Source organism: Homo sapiens, chromosome 4 (assembly GCF_000001405.40).
Source record: "Homo sapiens chromosome 4, GRCh38.p14 Primary Assembly".
Taxonomy (NCBI): Eukaryota; Metazoa; Chordata; class Mammalia; order Primates; family Hominidae; genus Homo; species Homo sapiens.
In genome coordinates, this window is record NC_000004.12 from 66,148,316 (window position 1) to 66,166,455 (window position 18,140).

General features: G+C 36.9%; 1 long non-coding RNA gene across 1 annotated transcript in view; it reads left to right on the top strand.

Moving 5' to 3' along the window:
- LOC105377261 (uncharacterized) overlaps nucleotides 1-3,618 on the top strand; it is a 148,733-nt gene extending 145,115 nt beyond the window's left edge. The window contains exon 5 of the long non-coding RNA XR_007058453.1: nucleotides 1,559-3,618. This is a non-coding gene — a long non-coding RNA (uncharacterized LOC105377261). The remainder of the gene's footprint in view (nucleotides 1-1,558) is intronic.
- Nucleotides 3,619-18,140: the final 14,522 nt, after the last annotated feature.

An 18,140-nucleotide genomic window follows, 5' to 3' on the forward strand; every position in this document is an offset into this window, starting at 1 on the left:
CACTGTAGCCTGTCAAGTAAACTAAGAAAAAAAAAATTGTTGCCAGGTACAGCAGCTCACACCAGCACTTTGGGAGGCTGAGGTGGACAGATCACAAGGTCAGGAGTTCGAGACCAGCCTGGCCAATATGGTGAAACCCTATCTCTACTAAAAATAAAAAAAATTAGCCAGGCATGGTGGCGGGCACCTGTATTCCCAGCTACTCAGGCGGCTGAGGCAGGAGAATGGTTTGAACCCGGGAGGCGGAGGTTGCAATAAGCTGTGATCGCACCACTGCACTCCAGCCTGGGCAACAGAACGAGACTCTATCTGCAAAGAAAAAAATTAAATTAAATTTAAAAAATTGTTTTTGCTTTTAATTTTTATTTATTTTTTGTTTGTTGTCCTCTGGGTTTTACTTATTTGTCCATATGTATAAAACTATTGATTTTTTTTTTAGATTTTAATGGAAGGCTTTTATTTGATTCTATGAATAGCAATTTTGTTTTCTATGCAGGTCCAACAATTCATTATTTGATCTATTTATCTAAAATTTCTAACTTTGTCAAGTTTCCAAAAATTGATAGAGGACACCAGCCATTTAAAATTCAGTTGGTTTTGCTTACCTCTGATGATCTTGAGAGTATAAGAAAAAAAATTACACAAATGACATATTTTTATAAGTTGGGAACCAAAATAGTACATTATTTATTATTTGAAAAAGTGAGAATAAAAATATTTAAATCGTGTTTATTTTCAAGATAATTCAGTTTAATCAATAATTTGAGTTGGTGTCAGATTTTTTTCATGAGATAATAAAGACAAACTGTGATATAGTGACAATGTTTTAAAGTTCAGGAAAGATTGGCCTTGTCCTTAAGGAGATTACATTGATTGGGATTGCTCTCAAACTACTTTAATTGTGTTTACAATGATTAACATTAAATGACATTGACTTGGATTAGGTAGTAATAATTTTTCTTTAAAATGTAATACTTTCTACTGATTTTTAATGCCAAGGTACTTACTAATAATGGGCCTTCATATGTGTACCTGAAAACAAAATATGTGCAGGTGCTTCACTGATTTGAAGATTTTGGTAGTGAAAGTTACCTAATCAGTTGTCAGTACGTATCTAGAAACCAAACCTGGAAATGTGTAATGATGCTCTGTTTATAGCTGAAGAGAAATTACTGTGTTTGTTCTTACTTTGTCCTTGTTTTGCTGTATAGTATTTAAGTGAAAGGAGATTGTTTAACCTCATACCATATTTCCAAAACTGATATTTGCATTTACCATTTTCTTAAATAATGTAGAGAAAGGTTAGTTGTCTAACTTTGATATGTTTGGCAAAGGCCCTATTACATTTGTGATGCTTTTGGTCACAGTTCTGTCACTAGAATACAGCAATTAGACATAGGCAGTGAGTAACCTAACTACTTTAATTCAGTGATTTGAATTAAAGGAGTCCTGCAGTTACTCCTAAATGCCAAATCACAGTATAACATATTAGAGAGAATGATAGCACTTTCTGTAGTATAAACATCCTACTAACAAATCCTTGTGCTATTATTTATAGGGTTTTGACTCTTGGGTCTGAAAAAGGCAGCGATCCCTGCTAAATTCTGAACACTGACATTAGTCGTCAGCCTTGGAAGAAGCAACAATCACAACGATCTGCTTTTTAATGAGGCAAAGGACCAGAAATTAAGACTATTAAAGTCCCCTAGGCCCAGGAACTATCGCAGAAGAGATGGGAACATAAGATTGTGAGGGCTGATTTTGAGGGTTGATTAGTTTAGAGTTTTCTATAAATTAAACATTAAAATCAAAAGCACACCGATGCAAGGCCAGCGTCTCCGCCCGTGTGTTGGAATAACAGGGTTTTCTTGGAGCATTGATCTGCTCTTTAATAGAAAGCTGTAAAAGGTTTTAAAAGGTTTATCAAAATCTTACCTTATGGTAAAACTGATTAAAATTGTATTTGTTTATAAGGTTTTATTAAAATTAGCTTTAACATTAATAATACAGCATACAAGGTAAAATTTGGTTTTCTCTTTTGAATAAAATTTTTATGTAAGGAATAATAAGATATTTTTGTTTACCTTTTGAGTCAACTGCAGGGGAAAAGAAAGGGAGTGAGAGGAGACAGATTTAGTTGGCCTCAAGCTGTTCTAAGTATCAGGTCTTATTGCTTGGGAAACTGAGTGTCTTCTCTATCAAAAGGTAAACATTTTTGTGCTATCATTTTGGCTAAACAAATGACTATTTTATAATAACCATGATCCTATTTTGTGATATATCAAATGTCTTAAACATTTGATAGTTGACAGACTTTCCAACAGCAAAATTTCAGAGTCTAAATTCAGGCTTTTTGACCTCAAACTAACTCTTTGGATATTAGGTTCCCTCAAGTCCAAGAAAGACATATTAGGCTTACTAGGCTTTTGTTATGTTAGAATTATGCAGAAAGCATTGTGAAATCTGAGGTGGTATTTAGCTTCCTTTCGGCTTATTTATATAGACGTGTTGTTAATATGCATTCCAGTATTATATGAGATGCCTAAAATTCTGATATGTCTTAATATATGTTGTCTGTCATAATTACGATTATTATGTTAAATTTTTGTATGCCATAGAAATAACCAACCGTCCTGGTCAACTGTGTCTTTATCTATGGCTGACTTAAGCCTTTTGTCATCTACAATCCTTGTTTTGCTTTGATCCTTCTCAAAAAGTGACTTGTAATCAGCTATGGTCCAGGGCTTGCTTCTTTGGAGGATTTCATGAAAAGGATTCTTGAATGCAGGTTTCTGATAACTTTGGAGATTGTGCCACTGGAATAGAGAGAAAACTTCCAGTGAACTAAGTGGAAGGCTGATGTGTTCATAAACATAGCTAAACCAATATCAAGCAGAGCAAGAGTTGATTGCATGAACTGAACTAATGGAGGACTAAAATAATATTTATGGCTTTTTTTGAAATATTGCTGATTCTTTTTGTTTTGTTTTTCAGAATAAGTTTTGAATAATGTTTTTCTTTTGAGCTATTTATAGCCTTTTAATATATTTTTTAGTATAGTGAGTACATCATACTTCTGTAAACACACTTTTGAAGCATATTTCTCTCTCTGTTTAATTTATCCAGAATTTGTAAACTACTTGTGAATATTTTTAATTAATGGCAATGTGGTTGCTTGCATACATTTAATAACAACATGTTTTATTTTATAATGGGCCATAACTGGAGGAACTTGTTATTTTCTCAGGCCTTTGACTAAAATGGCATTGTGAGAGGTTCCAGCAAAGCCAATTTAGGAGAGCGTATATGGACAATGATTCTTGCTGCACATTGTGTGGGTAATCAGGCCGAGTATATGGGACTGACACTTATTTTGCAGTTAGATTGGTCCTGTTGTGATTTGTCTTTGGTGGAAGTGGGGGACTGGAGAAATAAATATTGTGTTTCCGAAGAAAACTATAGTATTACACTAATCTTTGATTCCTGAGTGGCCATGAGGTCACCCATGGATGGGAGCTGCTCATGAAACCCCTCCTCAGCATGAAGCAGCCAGAAAGATCAACACCTGGATTCCCCATGATTGAGGAATTGATAAATAAAAAAGGGGACTGAAACCGACTCAACAGTCTCATAGTTTTGTTGTTGCTGTTGTTGTTGTTGTTGTTGTTCTTGTTCTTGTTAAAAACACTTCTGGTCTTAAAGCTTGAAACTTACATTTGTTTTATCTGAGCTCCTACTCCAGGAATGAACCTTTAGGCCTCTCAAAAATTATTAAAGAACTCACTGGATCACTTCATCCAGACAATGAAATGTTAGACCCTGTGTTAATCATAATTGCTTCCATGCCCCTCCATAGTTTCTGTTTTCTTACACATTGTTACGTTTTTTCCTGCTATGTAAACCCCTAGTTTTAGTTGGTCAAGGGGGTGGATTTTTAGACCAATCTTCTGTCCCCTTGGCTGCAGCAACTGGCCAATTAAAGCCATCCTTTTTGGCAATAATTGTCTCGGTGATTGGTTTTCTTTGTGGTGAGCAGGCAGCAGGAACTAGACTGAACACCTGGTTTCTCCATAACACGTGTACCACATTTTTTAAAATCTTGAATAAAAGACACCAAAGGCATAAGAAAACAAACAGGAAAATGACAAATTGGACTTCATGAAAATTTTTAAAAATATTTGCATCAAAAGAGACCAGTAAAAGAGTAAAAAGGAAACTCACATTTTGGGAAAATATATTTTCAAGTCACATATCTGATAAAATATGAATAACCAAAATATATAGAGAACTTCTAACAAGAAATAAATATATGAGCCAATTAAAAAATGGGCAAAGGATTTTAATAGACATTTCTCCAAAGAAGATATACAAAAAAAAAGCACATAAAAAGATGTTCAATATCACTAATACTTAGGCAAACGCATATCAAAACTCCAATGAGATACTACCTCACACCTATTAGAATGGCTACTATCAAAAACAAAATGAATGAAAAATACAATAGTAAGTGTTGGCTAAGATGTGGAGTAATTAGAATCTTGTCCACTTTTGAAGGAATGCAAAATGGTACAATTGCTGTGGAACTGAGCAAAAAATTAAAGACGGAATTATCATATAATCCAACAATTCCATTTCTGAATATATATATATATTATATACGTATCAAATACTATATGATTCTTCTTACATGAGGTACTTAGAGAAGTCAAAATTATAGAGGCAGAAAATAGGATGGTGGTTGTCAGAGACTGTGGTAATGGTAGGATAGGTTATTGTTTCATGAGTATAGAGTTTCAGTTTTACAAGGTGACAAGAGTTATGGAAGTAGATGGTGGTAGTGGTGGTATGGCATTATGAATGTATTTAATTGCACTGAGCTGTATAGTTAAAAATGGTTAAGATAGTATACTTATTTCATGTATATATTATTACAATTAAAATATTGGGAAAAATGTATGGATTCCCTTCCCAATTTCTGGGATTGAGATACATTTTCAACCTTTAACTATAGAATAAAATTGTGACTGGTATCCGGGAGAAAGGATTTTACAACTACAGAGCTAGTATATACCTAATGATGTTCCAGTTTGTCCTTAATGGAGCATAAAGTCTTTGCTTATGTGCACTGTATGCTGGGGAATGCAGAATAGCAGACATTTTGATAACTACTGGAAAGAGAGTTTTAGATAACATTGATACCCAGAGACTCAAAGCATCATCATGGTCCCCTGTTAGAATGGTGGTATGCAGGAGCTATGTAAAACGTGAAGGCTGGACTGAAGTCCAGCCTACAGCAGGTCTACAAGGGCCATGGACTCACTTGATGGTCAGTTTCTAATATATAATTGTAATTGCCATACTTGGAAGTCGGAACAACCTTCATATTAGATTCTTGACCACTGGGGTAAATGCTTTCATAGTGGAGAAGGCCAAATGGGAGCTTCTGAAACCATAACTCTTTGACCAAGGTAGAAAATTAAAAAATAAAAAGGAATATAACCTTTTTGTTAGTGGGGGTCAGAAGGAGGTGAGTGGTGTACTTTAGTGTCACCCTTAGGTATCTCTGAAGAATGTAGGTTGATAATATAACTTCATTTAATTTACCAGTCGAGATGATATGGGAGTGCTGGGAAGGGAAGAGTATAGTCCCTTTAAATGTTAGGGAAGCGAGGAAGGGAAGTGCTGGGTAAAGGAGGGCGTGGTCCCTGGCTAGGGCTCTGCCCCATGGACCTAGGTGAGGACAGGCATGTCCTGCCCAAATGGGGGTTGCATTTCCCAAGATCACCCTGGCCCCCCACACCCCCATCCTGGGCCTATAAAAACCTGAGACCCTAGCAAGGCAGAGACAGAGGCAGCTGGACATCGAGAGGACATCGAGAAGAGCACACTGGAGGAAGAGCATACTAACAGATGCCTGCATGCTGGCAGGCCATCGACCATGAAGGGATGAGGTGGAGTTTGACTGGGCAGTTGGAGGAGAGCTGGGGAAGCCAGGTGGCCTAACTCCAGGGGAAAACCGTCTCCTTTCTGGCTCCCCCATCAGCTGAGACCTACTTCTACTCAATAAAACTTTACACTCATTCTCCAAGCCCACATGTGATCCATTATCCTGGTACACCAAGGCAAGAAACCCTGGGATACAAAAATCCTTCTGTCCTTGTGATAAAGATGGGGGTATAATTGAGCTGGTTTACACAAGCCACCTATAGACAGCAAGCTAAGAAAGTACCCTGTAACACATGCCCACAGGGGCTTCAGGAGCTGTAAACATTCACCCATAGACACTGCCTTGGGGTCGGAGCGCCAGAGCCTGCCTGTCTGTATGTTCCCTTAGAGGTTTGAGCCGCAGGGCACTGAAGAAATTAGCTACACCCCCATTACACACACTGCGAGAGGGACAAGGGAACCTTTCTTGCTTTATAGACACTGCGGGAACCAAATGGATTCTGGATTACTGCAAGCTCAGCCAAGTGGTAAGGCCAATTTTAACTGCCATGCTAGATTTGATATATTTACTAGAGCATATTAATACAGTCTGAGTACATGATATGTGGCCTTTGACTTGACAAGTGTGTAGTGTGTATGTGTTTAATTTCAGTCAAGAAAGGAGGACACAGTAATTCTTATTCATAAGGTGTGATAAGCCACAAATGGAGTCTCCATGTGACAGTGATAGAAGATGTGCATGGGCCCAACAGTGTAAACTGTTCTTCTTAAGACTTATCTAGTTATTGTCACCACTTACTGCCCAATATGACAGCAACAGAAAATAATAATGAGCCCTTGATATAGCATTATTTCTAATAGGAAGAAACCAGCTCGTTGGTTTTAAGTCTGTTTTGCTAAGTCTCTTCCATTTTAGAAGGGTCTACAATTTATTCTCAAAATAACAGACACCTATTCTGGTCATTTCCTGTCCAGAGGGCCTCAGCTGGCACCATGCTATGAAGGCTTATTATGTACTCACTCCATAGACATGAGGGAATCTCATTCCTCCCAGAATAAAGACTTCTGTCACTTCACAAAGTAAGCCACCAAGACCACTAGAAATGTTAGGTGAGTGTGGAGAAAAATATGGAAGGGATATTGAAACAAAAAGATAACTACTAGTAATCAAAGGACCTGACCAGGAGCTAAATTTCATTTCCTTAACCTGCTTTTTTTCTTTTTTTTCCATGCCCGCCTTTAGAAAATGAGGCTCAATTGAAACCCATAAAAGTTCCTCTCCAAATATATATGAAGTATGGGGCCCATATGGCATAAGTATTGGCCTGTTGCAACACTAAAAATTCACCCGTTAGCCTTTCAAAAACTTTCTTCCAGCTGCAGCAACTTTATAATGGCTGCAACTTTCCATCTAGGCCACGCTCTTCACAAGGAAGCACAGACAATGACTGTGCCTGGAAGGAGCACTGAAACTTGACCATTTTTTCTGATGACGGGACTCTTGTACCATAAATTTTTTGCTCTAGATCTGTGTTTTGAGGTAGAAACCTTATTAAATCTGTGTCACAGTCTGAGCGTCTCTCTGCCCGATTCTCCTTCCTGTTTCCTTTTCACAGGTGCCAGATGAGCATTGCAATCTGACTCCTTTCCCTAAGGAATCCTGCTTCCTTCCCCTTAATTATTTGCAGGTATTACCCTAAGTGAACTTTCTGCACTCTTAACACCTTAGCGTACGCTACCTAAATATTTTAGTTTATGGAGTTGTATGTGCCCAATGTCTTGTGTTGAGTCTTGTTCAAAGTTTTATATAAAATGTGGAAATGATATTTTGATAGACATATGCACAGTGAAGTTTTTACTTAGATTGTTACTATAGCCAAACAAGTTAACCTATCTGTCACTTTCCTTAGTTACCTTTTTTGGTTTTGTGGTAAGAGCATCAGAAATCTACCACTCTCGGTACATTTTTGATATGTAATACTGATATGGACAGGAGGCAGGGAAATACTGGGTAAAAGAACGTGGTTCCCCAACAGAGGCCCTGTCCTCAAGCTTGGAAAGCACGGCCCTAAATGAGACAAGTCGTTACTATTTTCCCACCCAAATGTTACCTTTTTGGCCCGCCCGACTTCCCTATCCTGTGCCCATATAAACCCCAGACCTCAGCTGGCAAAGAGACAAGTGGTTGAATGTTGAGAGAAGAAGCAACTGAGTATCAGAGACTATGGATAGACTCAGCTTAACTTTAGATGGCACGACTTCAGAGAGGAGCCCAGCCATCTCTGGCTAAATTTCAGGGAAAGATCACCTTCTTCCCGCTCCATCCCCTTCTCAGCTCCCCTTCCACTGAGATCTACCTCCACTCCTTAAGAAAATCCTCTGCATTCCTCACCTTTCAAACCATTCATGTGAGCTGATTCTTCCTGGATGCCGGACAAGAATTCGGGATACAATGGTTGTGGGAACCCAAAAAGCCTGTCACACTGACTCTTCCCTGAGCTGTTTAACACTTAAGCCATCTGCGGACAGCAAAGCTAAAAGGGCATTAATTTTAACACACCTAGACACTGCCATGGGGCGGGAGCCCGAAAGTACTCACCCGCGGCCCAGCACTTGCTCACCTACGTGCTCCTGCCTGTAAGGGGTTGAACCCAACGGGTTCAAGAAAGTGAAGTTCATCCCTGCTGGCGCTGAAGTGACTGGCTGGACTTAGAGCAGGTGCAATCTAGTTCGAGCCCGTGAAAGGGTCAAGGTAACCGTTTCTTCTCAATATTACTCAGTTTTACTAACTGTAGTCCTTATGCTGTACATTAGCTCTTTAGACTTATTCATTGTATGTAACTGTGAATTCATATTCTCTAACATATTGTTTCACATTTTCTCCCTGCTCCCTACTCCTGGTAACCACCATTCTGTTCTGTGTTTCTATATATTTGACTTTTTTGTAGATTCCATATGTAAGTGAAATCTTGCAGCATTTTTCCTTCTGTGTTTGGCTTATTTCACTTAGCCTCATGCCCTCCGGTTTCGTCCATACTGTTGTAAATGGCAGTTACCGTTCTCTTTTTTAAGGCTAAATAGTATTGCATCAAGAAGACATATACACCACAGTTTATTTATTCATTCATGTGCTGGTAAATACTTACGGTGTTTTATACCTTGACTGTTACGTATAATGCAATAAACATGGGAGTACAGACAACTCTATGAGGTGCTGTCTTCATTTTCCTTCGGTATGAAATCAAAAAGATTGCTGAGATATATGCTTTACTATTTTTAAGTTTTGGAGGAACTTCCAGACTGTTTGCCATAATGGCTGTACCAATTTCTTTTTCCTCCAATTGTGTGCAGAGGTTTCTTTTTCTCCATATCCTTGCCAACTCTTGGTATAGTTTGTTGATAATAGCTATTCTTACATGTATGAGATGATAACTTACTGTAGTTTTTATTTGCATTTCCCTAATGACAAGTGATATTGAAAATATGTCTGTATACCTTTGGGCATTGGTATGTTTCCTTTAGAAAAAAATGTCTATTCAGCTCCTTTGCACATGTTTAAATTAGGCTATTTACTTTCTATGTGTTTGCTGAGTTGTCTGAGTTTCTTACATTTCTTAGGTTTTCTCCTCAGTTGTCTTAGTTTCTTTTGGATATTAAGTCCTTATTAGATATCTCATTTGCAAATTTTTTTTCTGAATTAGTAAGCTGTCTTTTCATTTTGTTGATTCCTTCCTACTGATCTGCAGAAACACTATAGTTTCATATAATACCACTTATTTTTGCTTTTGTTGCCTGAGCTTTTGGTGTGATATCCAAAAAAATGATTGTCAAAGCCAGTATCAAGGGGCTTTTCCCATATGTTTTCTTCTAAGAGCTTCACAGTTGCAGGTCTTACAGTTAGGTGTTTAATTCATGTTGAGTTGATTTTCAACTCAACTCTGGTGTGAGATAAGGGTGCAGTTTCACTCCTTTGCATCTGGCTATCCAGTTTTTTCAATACCATTTATTAAAGAAACTATCCTTTCCCCATTGTATATTCTTGGCAGACTTGTTGAAAATTAGTTGTCTTTATACACTTAGGTTTTATTTTTGGGCTCTCTATTCTGTTTCATTGTTCGATGTGACTGTTTTCATGCCATACCATACATTTTGATTACTGTATCTTTTGCAATATAAATTGAAATCAAGAAGAGTGAGTTCCTCAACTTTATTTTTCTTTCTCAAGATTATTTGGCTATCTGTGGTCCTTTGAGGTTTATGAATAAGTGGATTTACTTCTGAAATGCAAGGTTTATTTAATATGTGGAAGTAAGTAAATTCATATTAACAGAATGAAAAATAAAAATCACATAATTTTCTCAGTATACATAGAAAAAGCATTTGATTAAGTTCAACATCCTTTCAGAACTAAAAACTCTCAGCCAAATAGGTGTATGAGGAAATTTCCTCAACTTAAAAAAGCCATTTATTAAAAGCTCACAGCTAAACTCATAATCAGTGGGAGGAAAACCAAAAACTTTTCCTCTAAGATTTGGTACAAGGCAAGGATGTCCACTCTCACCACTTGTAATTCACATAGTACTGGAAGTTTTAGAAAGAGCAATCAGATTTTTAAAAGAAATAAATGCATCTAAATCAGAAAAGAATAAGTAAAATTATTTGTGTTTGCAGATGACATAACCCCATGTGTAGAAAATCCTACTCTATCATAAAACTGTTAGAACTAATACACAAATTTAGTAAATTAATTGGATACAAAATCAACATACAAAAATCCATTGCGTGGTGGCTTAGGCCTGTAATTCCAGCACTTTTGGAGGCTAAGGCAGATGAATCACTGGAGATCAGGAGTTGGAAACCAGCCTGGCCAACATGGTGAAACCCTGTCTCTACTAAAAATACAAAAATCAGCAGGGTGTGGTGGCTCATGCCTGTAATCCAAGATACTTGGGAGGCTGAGGCAGAAGAATTGCTCGAGCCCAGGAGGCTGAGGTTGCAGTGAGCCGAGATCCTGCCACTGCATTTCAGCCTGGGCGACAGAGTGAGACTCTGTCTCAAAAAAAAAAAAAAAAAGTAATAGCAATAATAAAAGAACAATGAAAAAAAAAAGAAATCAAGAAAACAGTCTCACTTATGAGCATATCAAAAAGAGCAAAATACTGAAGAATACATTTAACTGAGGAAGTGAAAAATCTGTACACTGTAAACTATAAAGCACTGGTCAAAGAAACTGAAGAGGACACAAATAAATGGACACAAATAAATGGAAAGATATCTCTTGTTCATGGATTGGAAAAATTAATATTCTTGTCCATACTATCTGAAGTGATATACAGATTCAACACACTTCCTATCAAAATTCCAATTGCATATTACATAAAAAAGAACAAAATTGGTTGAGTTATATATAAATTTATTACTAAAACATTTCAATAGGGTAAATTTGGCCTATCATAAGTGCTATTTGTTAAATTGCAAATTCAATCATGTGACTTATTTTCTTAAATTTCTTAAATATCTTCCCCAAACTTAGAGGTTTTATGTTCTTCTCGATGTAAGGTAAAATTAAAAGATAGTATATATACATATGCAAAACCACAGGATCATCATAGCATATCTTCTCAATATCTGTTTTGCTTATTTTGAAGGAATTGGTATTAAAGTTAATATTAAAGAATAAATGGCAAACATGCAAAAATTGTAGGGATAAAATATGAGTTTAAAAAGAAATGCTATTTTTGCATCAAAATGTTCTGAGCTTAAGCAATTTCCCCAGAGGCAAAATGTTTCATATTATCTTAGATGAGCCTTAAGGTGCACTTTTGTGGAGATGTTTAAAAATATTTGCTTTATCACATAAAATCCAATCACTTTGGCTGGCTACACAAAAACCCCAACCTCACTCTTGGAAGTACTCACTTTCTCTTTTTTTGAGAGGAACTCTCGCTCTGCTGCCCACCTGGAGTGCAGTGGCGCCATCTGGGCTCACTGCAAGCTCCGCCTCCCGAGTTCACGCCATTCTCCTGCCTCAGCTTTCGGAGTAGCTGGGACTACAGGCTCCCGCCACCATGCATAGCTAATTTTTTTTTTTTTTTCAGTAGAGACGGGGTTTCACCATGTTAGCCAGGATGGTCTTGATCTCCTGACCTCGTGATCTGCCCGCCTGGGCCTCCCAAAGTTCTCGGATTACAGGCGTGAGCCACCGCCCCCGGCAGGAAGTAGTCACTTTCTACCACGTGTTGTAATAACCCAAATCTCATCGATTGTTTTCTCATATGTCTGTGATTTTGTATACTTTCTTTTTCTGCTTAGAATTTGGTCCTACTAGTTCTTGGTGCAAAAGTGTTTTTCCTGCCTGAATTGTATAAATTCAAATAATTAGTAGTAGAAAATCTGCATTTGTTAATTAGTTTGAGGGTTAGGCAGAATCTGAGGGCAATCAATGTCTCTGAAAGCTACATGACAAATAGGTCCCAGGCTAATCTCCCATGTCTGAAGGATCTTTCAGGATGGCAACAGGGATGATGGCCAACTTTCGAGTCATCTTTGCATTCTTAAACTGCCTTCTTGAAAATAATTATTACACTATGTGGAAACTTTTTAGTTGTTTATCTTCACTATAAGATTCTTGGGCAATTTTATGTAGGGCTGAGCCATAGCATTCTTCCTTATCTTTCCTGCTTAGCATGGTGTTCATTATTTGGTAAACATGAGTAAATGTCTGATTTACTAAGATAGTATATTTTATTGTCTCAAAAATGCTAAATTGTTGCTACTAATTTAAGTAAATAAAAAATTCCACTAACCTTGAAAACTTAACCTAAAGCAAGCCAGATGTTAAAACTTGATGCTGATAACCTGATGAGAAAGCAGTTTACCTATACTGAGTGTAGTATTACATACTACACAGGTACTTCCAACTTAGGATTGGTGGAACAATTTAAGTAGAGAAATAAAAGACGTGTCTCCAGTGTTTTAGTATGTTTCTAAGGATAACTAAGATTCAAAGGGAGCAAAAGAGAAAGAGTTGTTACTGTTAAATAACAGACACATAAATCTTAATCATAAAACAAAGAGACTAATTCAATTATAGCAAAACTTCTTGTGAGTTATTGCTTTGGATAGGAAACTTGGATACATTGAAATGCTCTTTTATGTCAAAATCCAATGCTCTTTTATGTCAAAAGCCATTATATTGTGTTTGCCTTTCTTATTTATGGGAAAGCAAAGTGTCTGTTATAGAATAATGATGGAGGGATGTCGGGAAGAGCTCAGAATATATTCACAGTATAGTGATGATTTTCAGAGTCGGGATTGGCTTGCAGGATTGCTCTCTTTTCTAGGATGAAAGAAACAAATAAAAAATACATACACACAAATTAATACCAAAAGGTGATGAGAAACAGAAAAAAAAAGAATATGGTACTATTCACAAGTTGATTTTTAACAAATAGCTTTCTAATGCATTCTGAAAGAAATGTTCCTCTTTATTACAGTCATGGTCAATTTGAGATTTCTGATCATTTTACTTCCCAAATGTACATAAAGTTGAGAAATTAAGCAGGACATACTAGGGAGAGTTTACTGTAGTCTAGACTTGTGTATTGACTTTTAAAAGTATATTTGAACTCTCTCCCTGGATGAAACTTGGAAAAAGGATTCCTACAATTTATGCAGACAAACTTGTTAGTAATAGCATAAATGAAATTTGAGTATATAAATCAAAGATTTGAATCAAAGATGCTTGAATAGTTGAGTACCAATGAGAAACTCAAAGTCCTAACACACTTTTCTTTTAAGCATTCAGTGTGATAATTGGTGGATTTCTGGCTATCTTGCTTAAAACCCACTGGTTCACAGTGGATATAAGAATAATTTCAACAGAATAGCATCTTTGAAAGGTCAAGTTGTTGAAACTTTTGAGGAATGTCAAGTGGAAATCTCAGTACAGTAATTGTGTATTCAGAAAATCTAGTGGTCTGAAAAAAAGAAAAAAACACAGCATAAGTTACAACTGTCAAAAATTGGCATTTGTATTTGCTGCTTTCATTATTTTCCCCTTACACAAGGAGAAAGCTATAAACTAAATTTGCTACATCTAAAACTTCCAAATATCTAACAAATTTGGTGAGTTTATATATCATCGTTACAAATACAAGCATGTTTTATACATTTAAATAAATTTTTCATATTCTAGGGTTTTTATTAAATGGCTTTTATACATAAAATCATTTCATGTTATAGCACACATTTTGTTTTGAAAACTACCATCTAGATTTAGAAAGGAAGGGCTAGTACTCTGGATTCCAACAGGCCATTTATTTAATACTTGCAATGCCTTCCTCACCATTCCCTCCCACTCAATTCTCGTCACTATCTCCTTAGTTCAGATGCCTAGCATCAATGAACAATTGCAGTACTCTAATATCTAATCTCCTTATCCTAAATTTATTAGAAGAAACTTAGAGATTTTAAACACTTTAATGTGAGGTAAGAAACACAATGTATGAATAGGGAGCTGAGCAACAATGCACTTGGATGTATTTATTTTTTTCAAAGTCTTCTTACTCCACAATCAATTTTTTAACCTCCAAATTCCCTTCATTTTCATTCAATTTTATGAACTTCTGGGATTAACTTTCTATGTTATGATAGCCTGACATGTTTTTATTTATTTGCTTTTATTGTTAATAATAGCATTTATTGACTATTCTTTAAGGAATTCAATAGTCATTATTTTTAAGAATTGCAGAATACATGATACAATGAAGAACAAACAATAATTTATAATAACAGTATTCAGATTGCTCTTGATCTGTAAATGTATTTCATCTCCTCCCAGACATTGAGTGTGCTCTCACCTGCTAACCCCAGCACTGATTCTTGACCCCAAATCCGGCAACTCGCTTGTGTCACTTGACTCATGTCATTCATAATGCATGGAACCTTATAAACATTCTCCTCCTCCTCTTATTTAGCCTGTACTCTTGTTTTTGTTTTCCCTAAGGACAGGAGTGATTATATCACTGACAATCACTCAACAACATTAGTATCATATCAGTGACAAAAGCACTAACAAAATTAACAGAATTTGTGTGGTTCTCTATGTCTAAAGAAGAAAATTTACTGGACCATTAACTCACAGGACACATTTGGAATCTTGGTAGAGTTAGAGATTGCAATCCAAGTGCCATCTCAATGTGAGAATGTTTTGCTATGGGAATGTGATTTATACCCTGAATCATCTTCCTTCTCTTAATATGTCACTGCTCAAAATGAAGCTGATACGTATTTAGGAATGTTAACACCAATATTATAACGCGTGTTCCTCAAGGTTAACTACTCATGGGTCTGAATAGAGTCACTTCAAAACTCATATTCGTGGTTCTTTTCACAGCCTATTTTTTAAAACCTGCCCATTGTTTCAATAATATAATAGTTCTTGCATTTTTTTCCCAGGGATCATTTTAGAAAGTTTCCTAGTGTGTGAACATGAATTATATATACCTTATATCTGCAATTCTTCCTCCTTTTCCCTCTCTCTTCCCAACCCAATTGTCTTAACACACTTCTGGTTCAAGGCTTCCAATGTCTGCTAAACTGTCTAAAGTTTCCTTGATAGGTGTGTCTTTGGAGCCCATAGAAAAGCCACTTCCACTTGGGTCTCATCAAGCTCTGCTCCTCCTGGGCTCTGCTACCACCTATTCTGAGGATAGCACTTCCCAGGCATCATTGTCCCTTTTGCCCATAGGCCACCTTCACTGAGCAGTGCATGATCTGTCAAGCATGACTGCTCCTTCACTAGGTTTTACCATTTCTTTTTGTTTGAGCCAACTTTATGTCCAAGCTATGTTCATCAGGAGAATTAAATCTGTGTGGCTAACATGCAAAGTAGAGCATGAAGGAGTTTCTTTTTATAAAGGGATGAAAAGTATCCCCTCTGTCTATAAAACACCATGTGCCTTCCAAAGCACACTATGTTTAATATTAGTGCTGAGCATGGTAGCCACTACTTATTAGCAACACAAGTCCCACTTTTCATAACACTTTTAGAGAGATATGATTCACATCTTTACTGAGATATGATTTTTAAGCAAACAACCTGCATATACTTAATGTATACAATTTGATGAGCTTGTACATATGTGATACCATTGCCATAACAAATGTAATGAATCTATCCACATAAAACCAAAAGTGTTCTTGAGTCTCTTTTCTTGTAGTAAGAACTTGTAGTAATATTTCCTAAGCAATCATGGTGCTTTAAGACTAATTAAGATCTACTCTGTTAAATTTTCATGCACATATTGAAGCAGTTTAAGGTCAATGAAGCAGGCTCATTGTCTGAGGTGTTATCCATAATTCTTGTCTCAGGACCAAGAAAAATAAGGAGCATGGACACCAAGAGTGAGGTTTGAGTGAAAGTTTAATAAGCAAAAGAGGAAAGCTCTCTGCAATGGAGAGGGGGCCCAAGAGGGTTGCCACTTTACAGTTGAACACAAAAGCTTTTATAGGAAATTCCCCTTATCTGTGTAGCTGCCTGTGTTAAGTGCCCTTATCTGTGCAGCTGTGAGCACGTCTTAAGCAAGCCTCCTCCCTGTGCAAGACAAGTTCCCATGGAGCCCACAATGTATACATCCATAGAAGGGGAGGAAACATTTTCCTGGGAGCCCGCTGATTACACAAAGTACAAAGGCATTTCTTTGTTGGGTCTTGCTCACTTATCTGTGCAGCTACAGCTTGATTTTTCATGCTGTTTCTCTGTTTAAAAGAATTCTACTGAGGACCTGCCTTAACTGTCTGCCTGTTTTTTTTTTACCTTTTCTCCTCTCTCAATATCTTTAGTATAGGCACTATGTTGTAGAGTATCTCTCTAAAACTTACTCACCTTGTATAAATGTAACATTATACCCATTGAACTACAACTTCCCTATCTTCTGCCAACCTCCACTCTATTTTCTGCTTCTGTAAGTTCTAATGACTGTGTCAGGTTAGATTCTCATAAAGTCTGCTACCAATATAAGATTAGATATACAAAAGACTTATGGGAGAAATGCCATTAAAGCTAAAATACAAGGGTACTAAATTAGGCAGTGGGAACCTTTAGCTCACAGTGTGTACTGACTCCTGTGAAAGGAAACAGATAAAGAATAAAGGTAGGAACAGTCTTTAACTGCAGTACAGTTCTGAGAAATCGCTGATCAGGCCAATGGAGAGTTCCTGAGCAAAGGTTGCCCATTATAGGAGGGCTGAGTTTGGCCTGAGTGAACCAACTCTGAAACCACTCCACCCTCAAGGTGATTGGTAATGACCATTGGTTGAGAGCAGCCAAAAGGAAATGTGGCTTACTGTGACAACCTTAGTAGATCCAAAGGGGTGATTGATAGCTGATGAGTATGAAGCAGGTTGTTTTAAAGGAGAATTGAGCAGCGTTCCTCCTTTACCTCAGCAACTGCTAACCTCCAGTACTATAGCTCTACAAGATTCTAAGGCAAAGTAAGGGAGAATGCATATAGCAAATAAAGAATAACTTATCTCCCATTCTCCTCCTGAAGCATTAGCCAAATTAACTTTTTTTTCTCTTTTCACCTGCTATCTTCTCTCCTGTCTGAAAAATCCAGTTATAATTCTGTGGTGACTTAAATTGAACACAAATCTGAGTCTTAGATAACTTGGAACGCAGTTGTTGCCTCCTTCTGATTGCTGATTCAGTTTGTGGGATAATCTTGTTCTGGTCAATCCAATATCACTGAGGATTACTGCTTTCCTCGGCTGCTTTCCAACACTCCATGGGTATAAACTCTCTGATCTGCTGCCCTGCACATTAGCCATACAGATTTGGATTTACCTGGTAGAAATAGCTTGGGGATCAAGCTGGGTTACTTACTAAACTATTATTTAAGTATTATAGGATAAAAATAAAAGAAATCTCATTCTCCGTGGATATTGAAGGCTACCAACCCACTAAATTAAGTTAAATTAAATTGCAGTAGTCCCCACTAAACCATGGTTTTGCTTTCTGATATTTTAGTTACTCACAGTCAACCAATGTCCAAAAATATTAAATGGAAAATTCCAGAAATAACTCGCAAATTTTAAATTTGGCTCCTTTCTGAGTAGCATGATGAAGACTTGTGTCATCCCTTGAATCATCTTTTTGTCCAGTGTATCCGAGCTCTATACCTGTCTGTTAG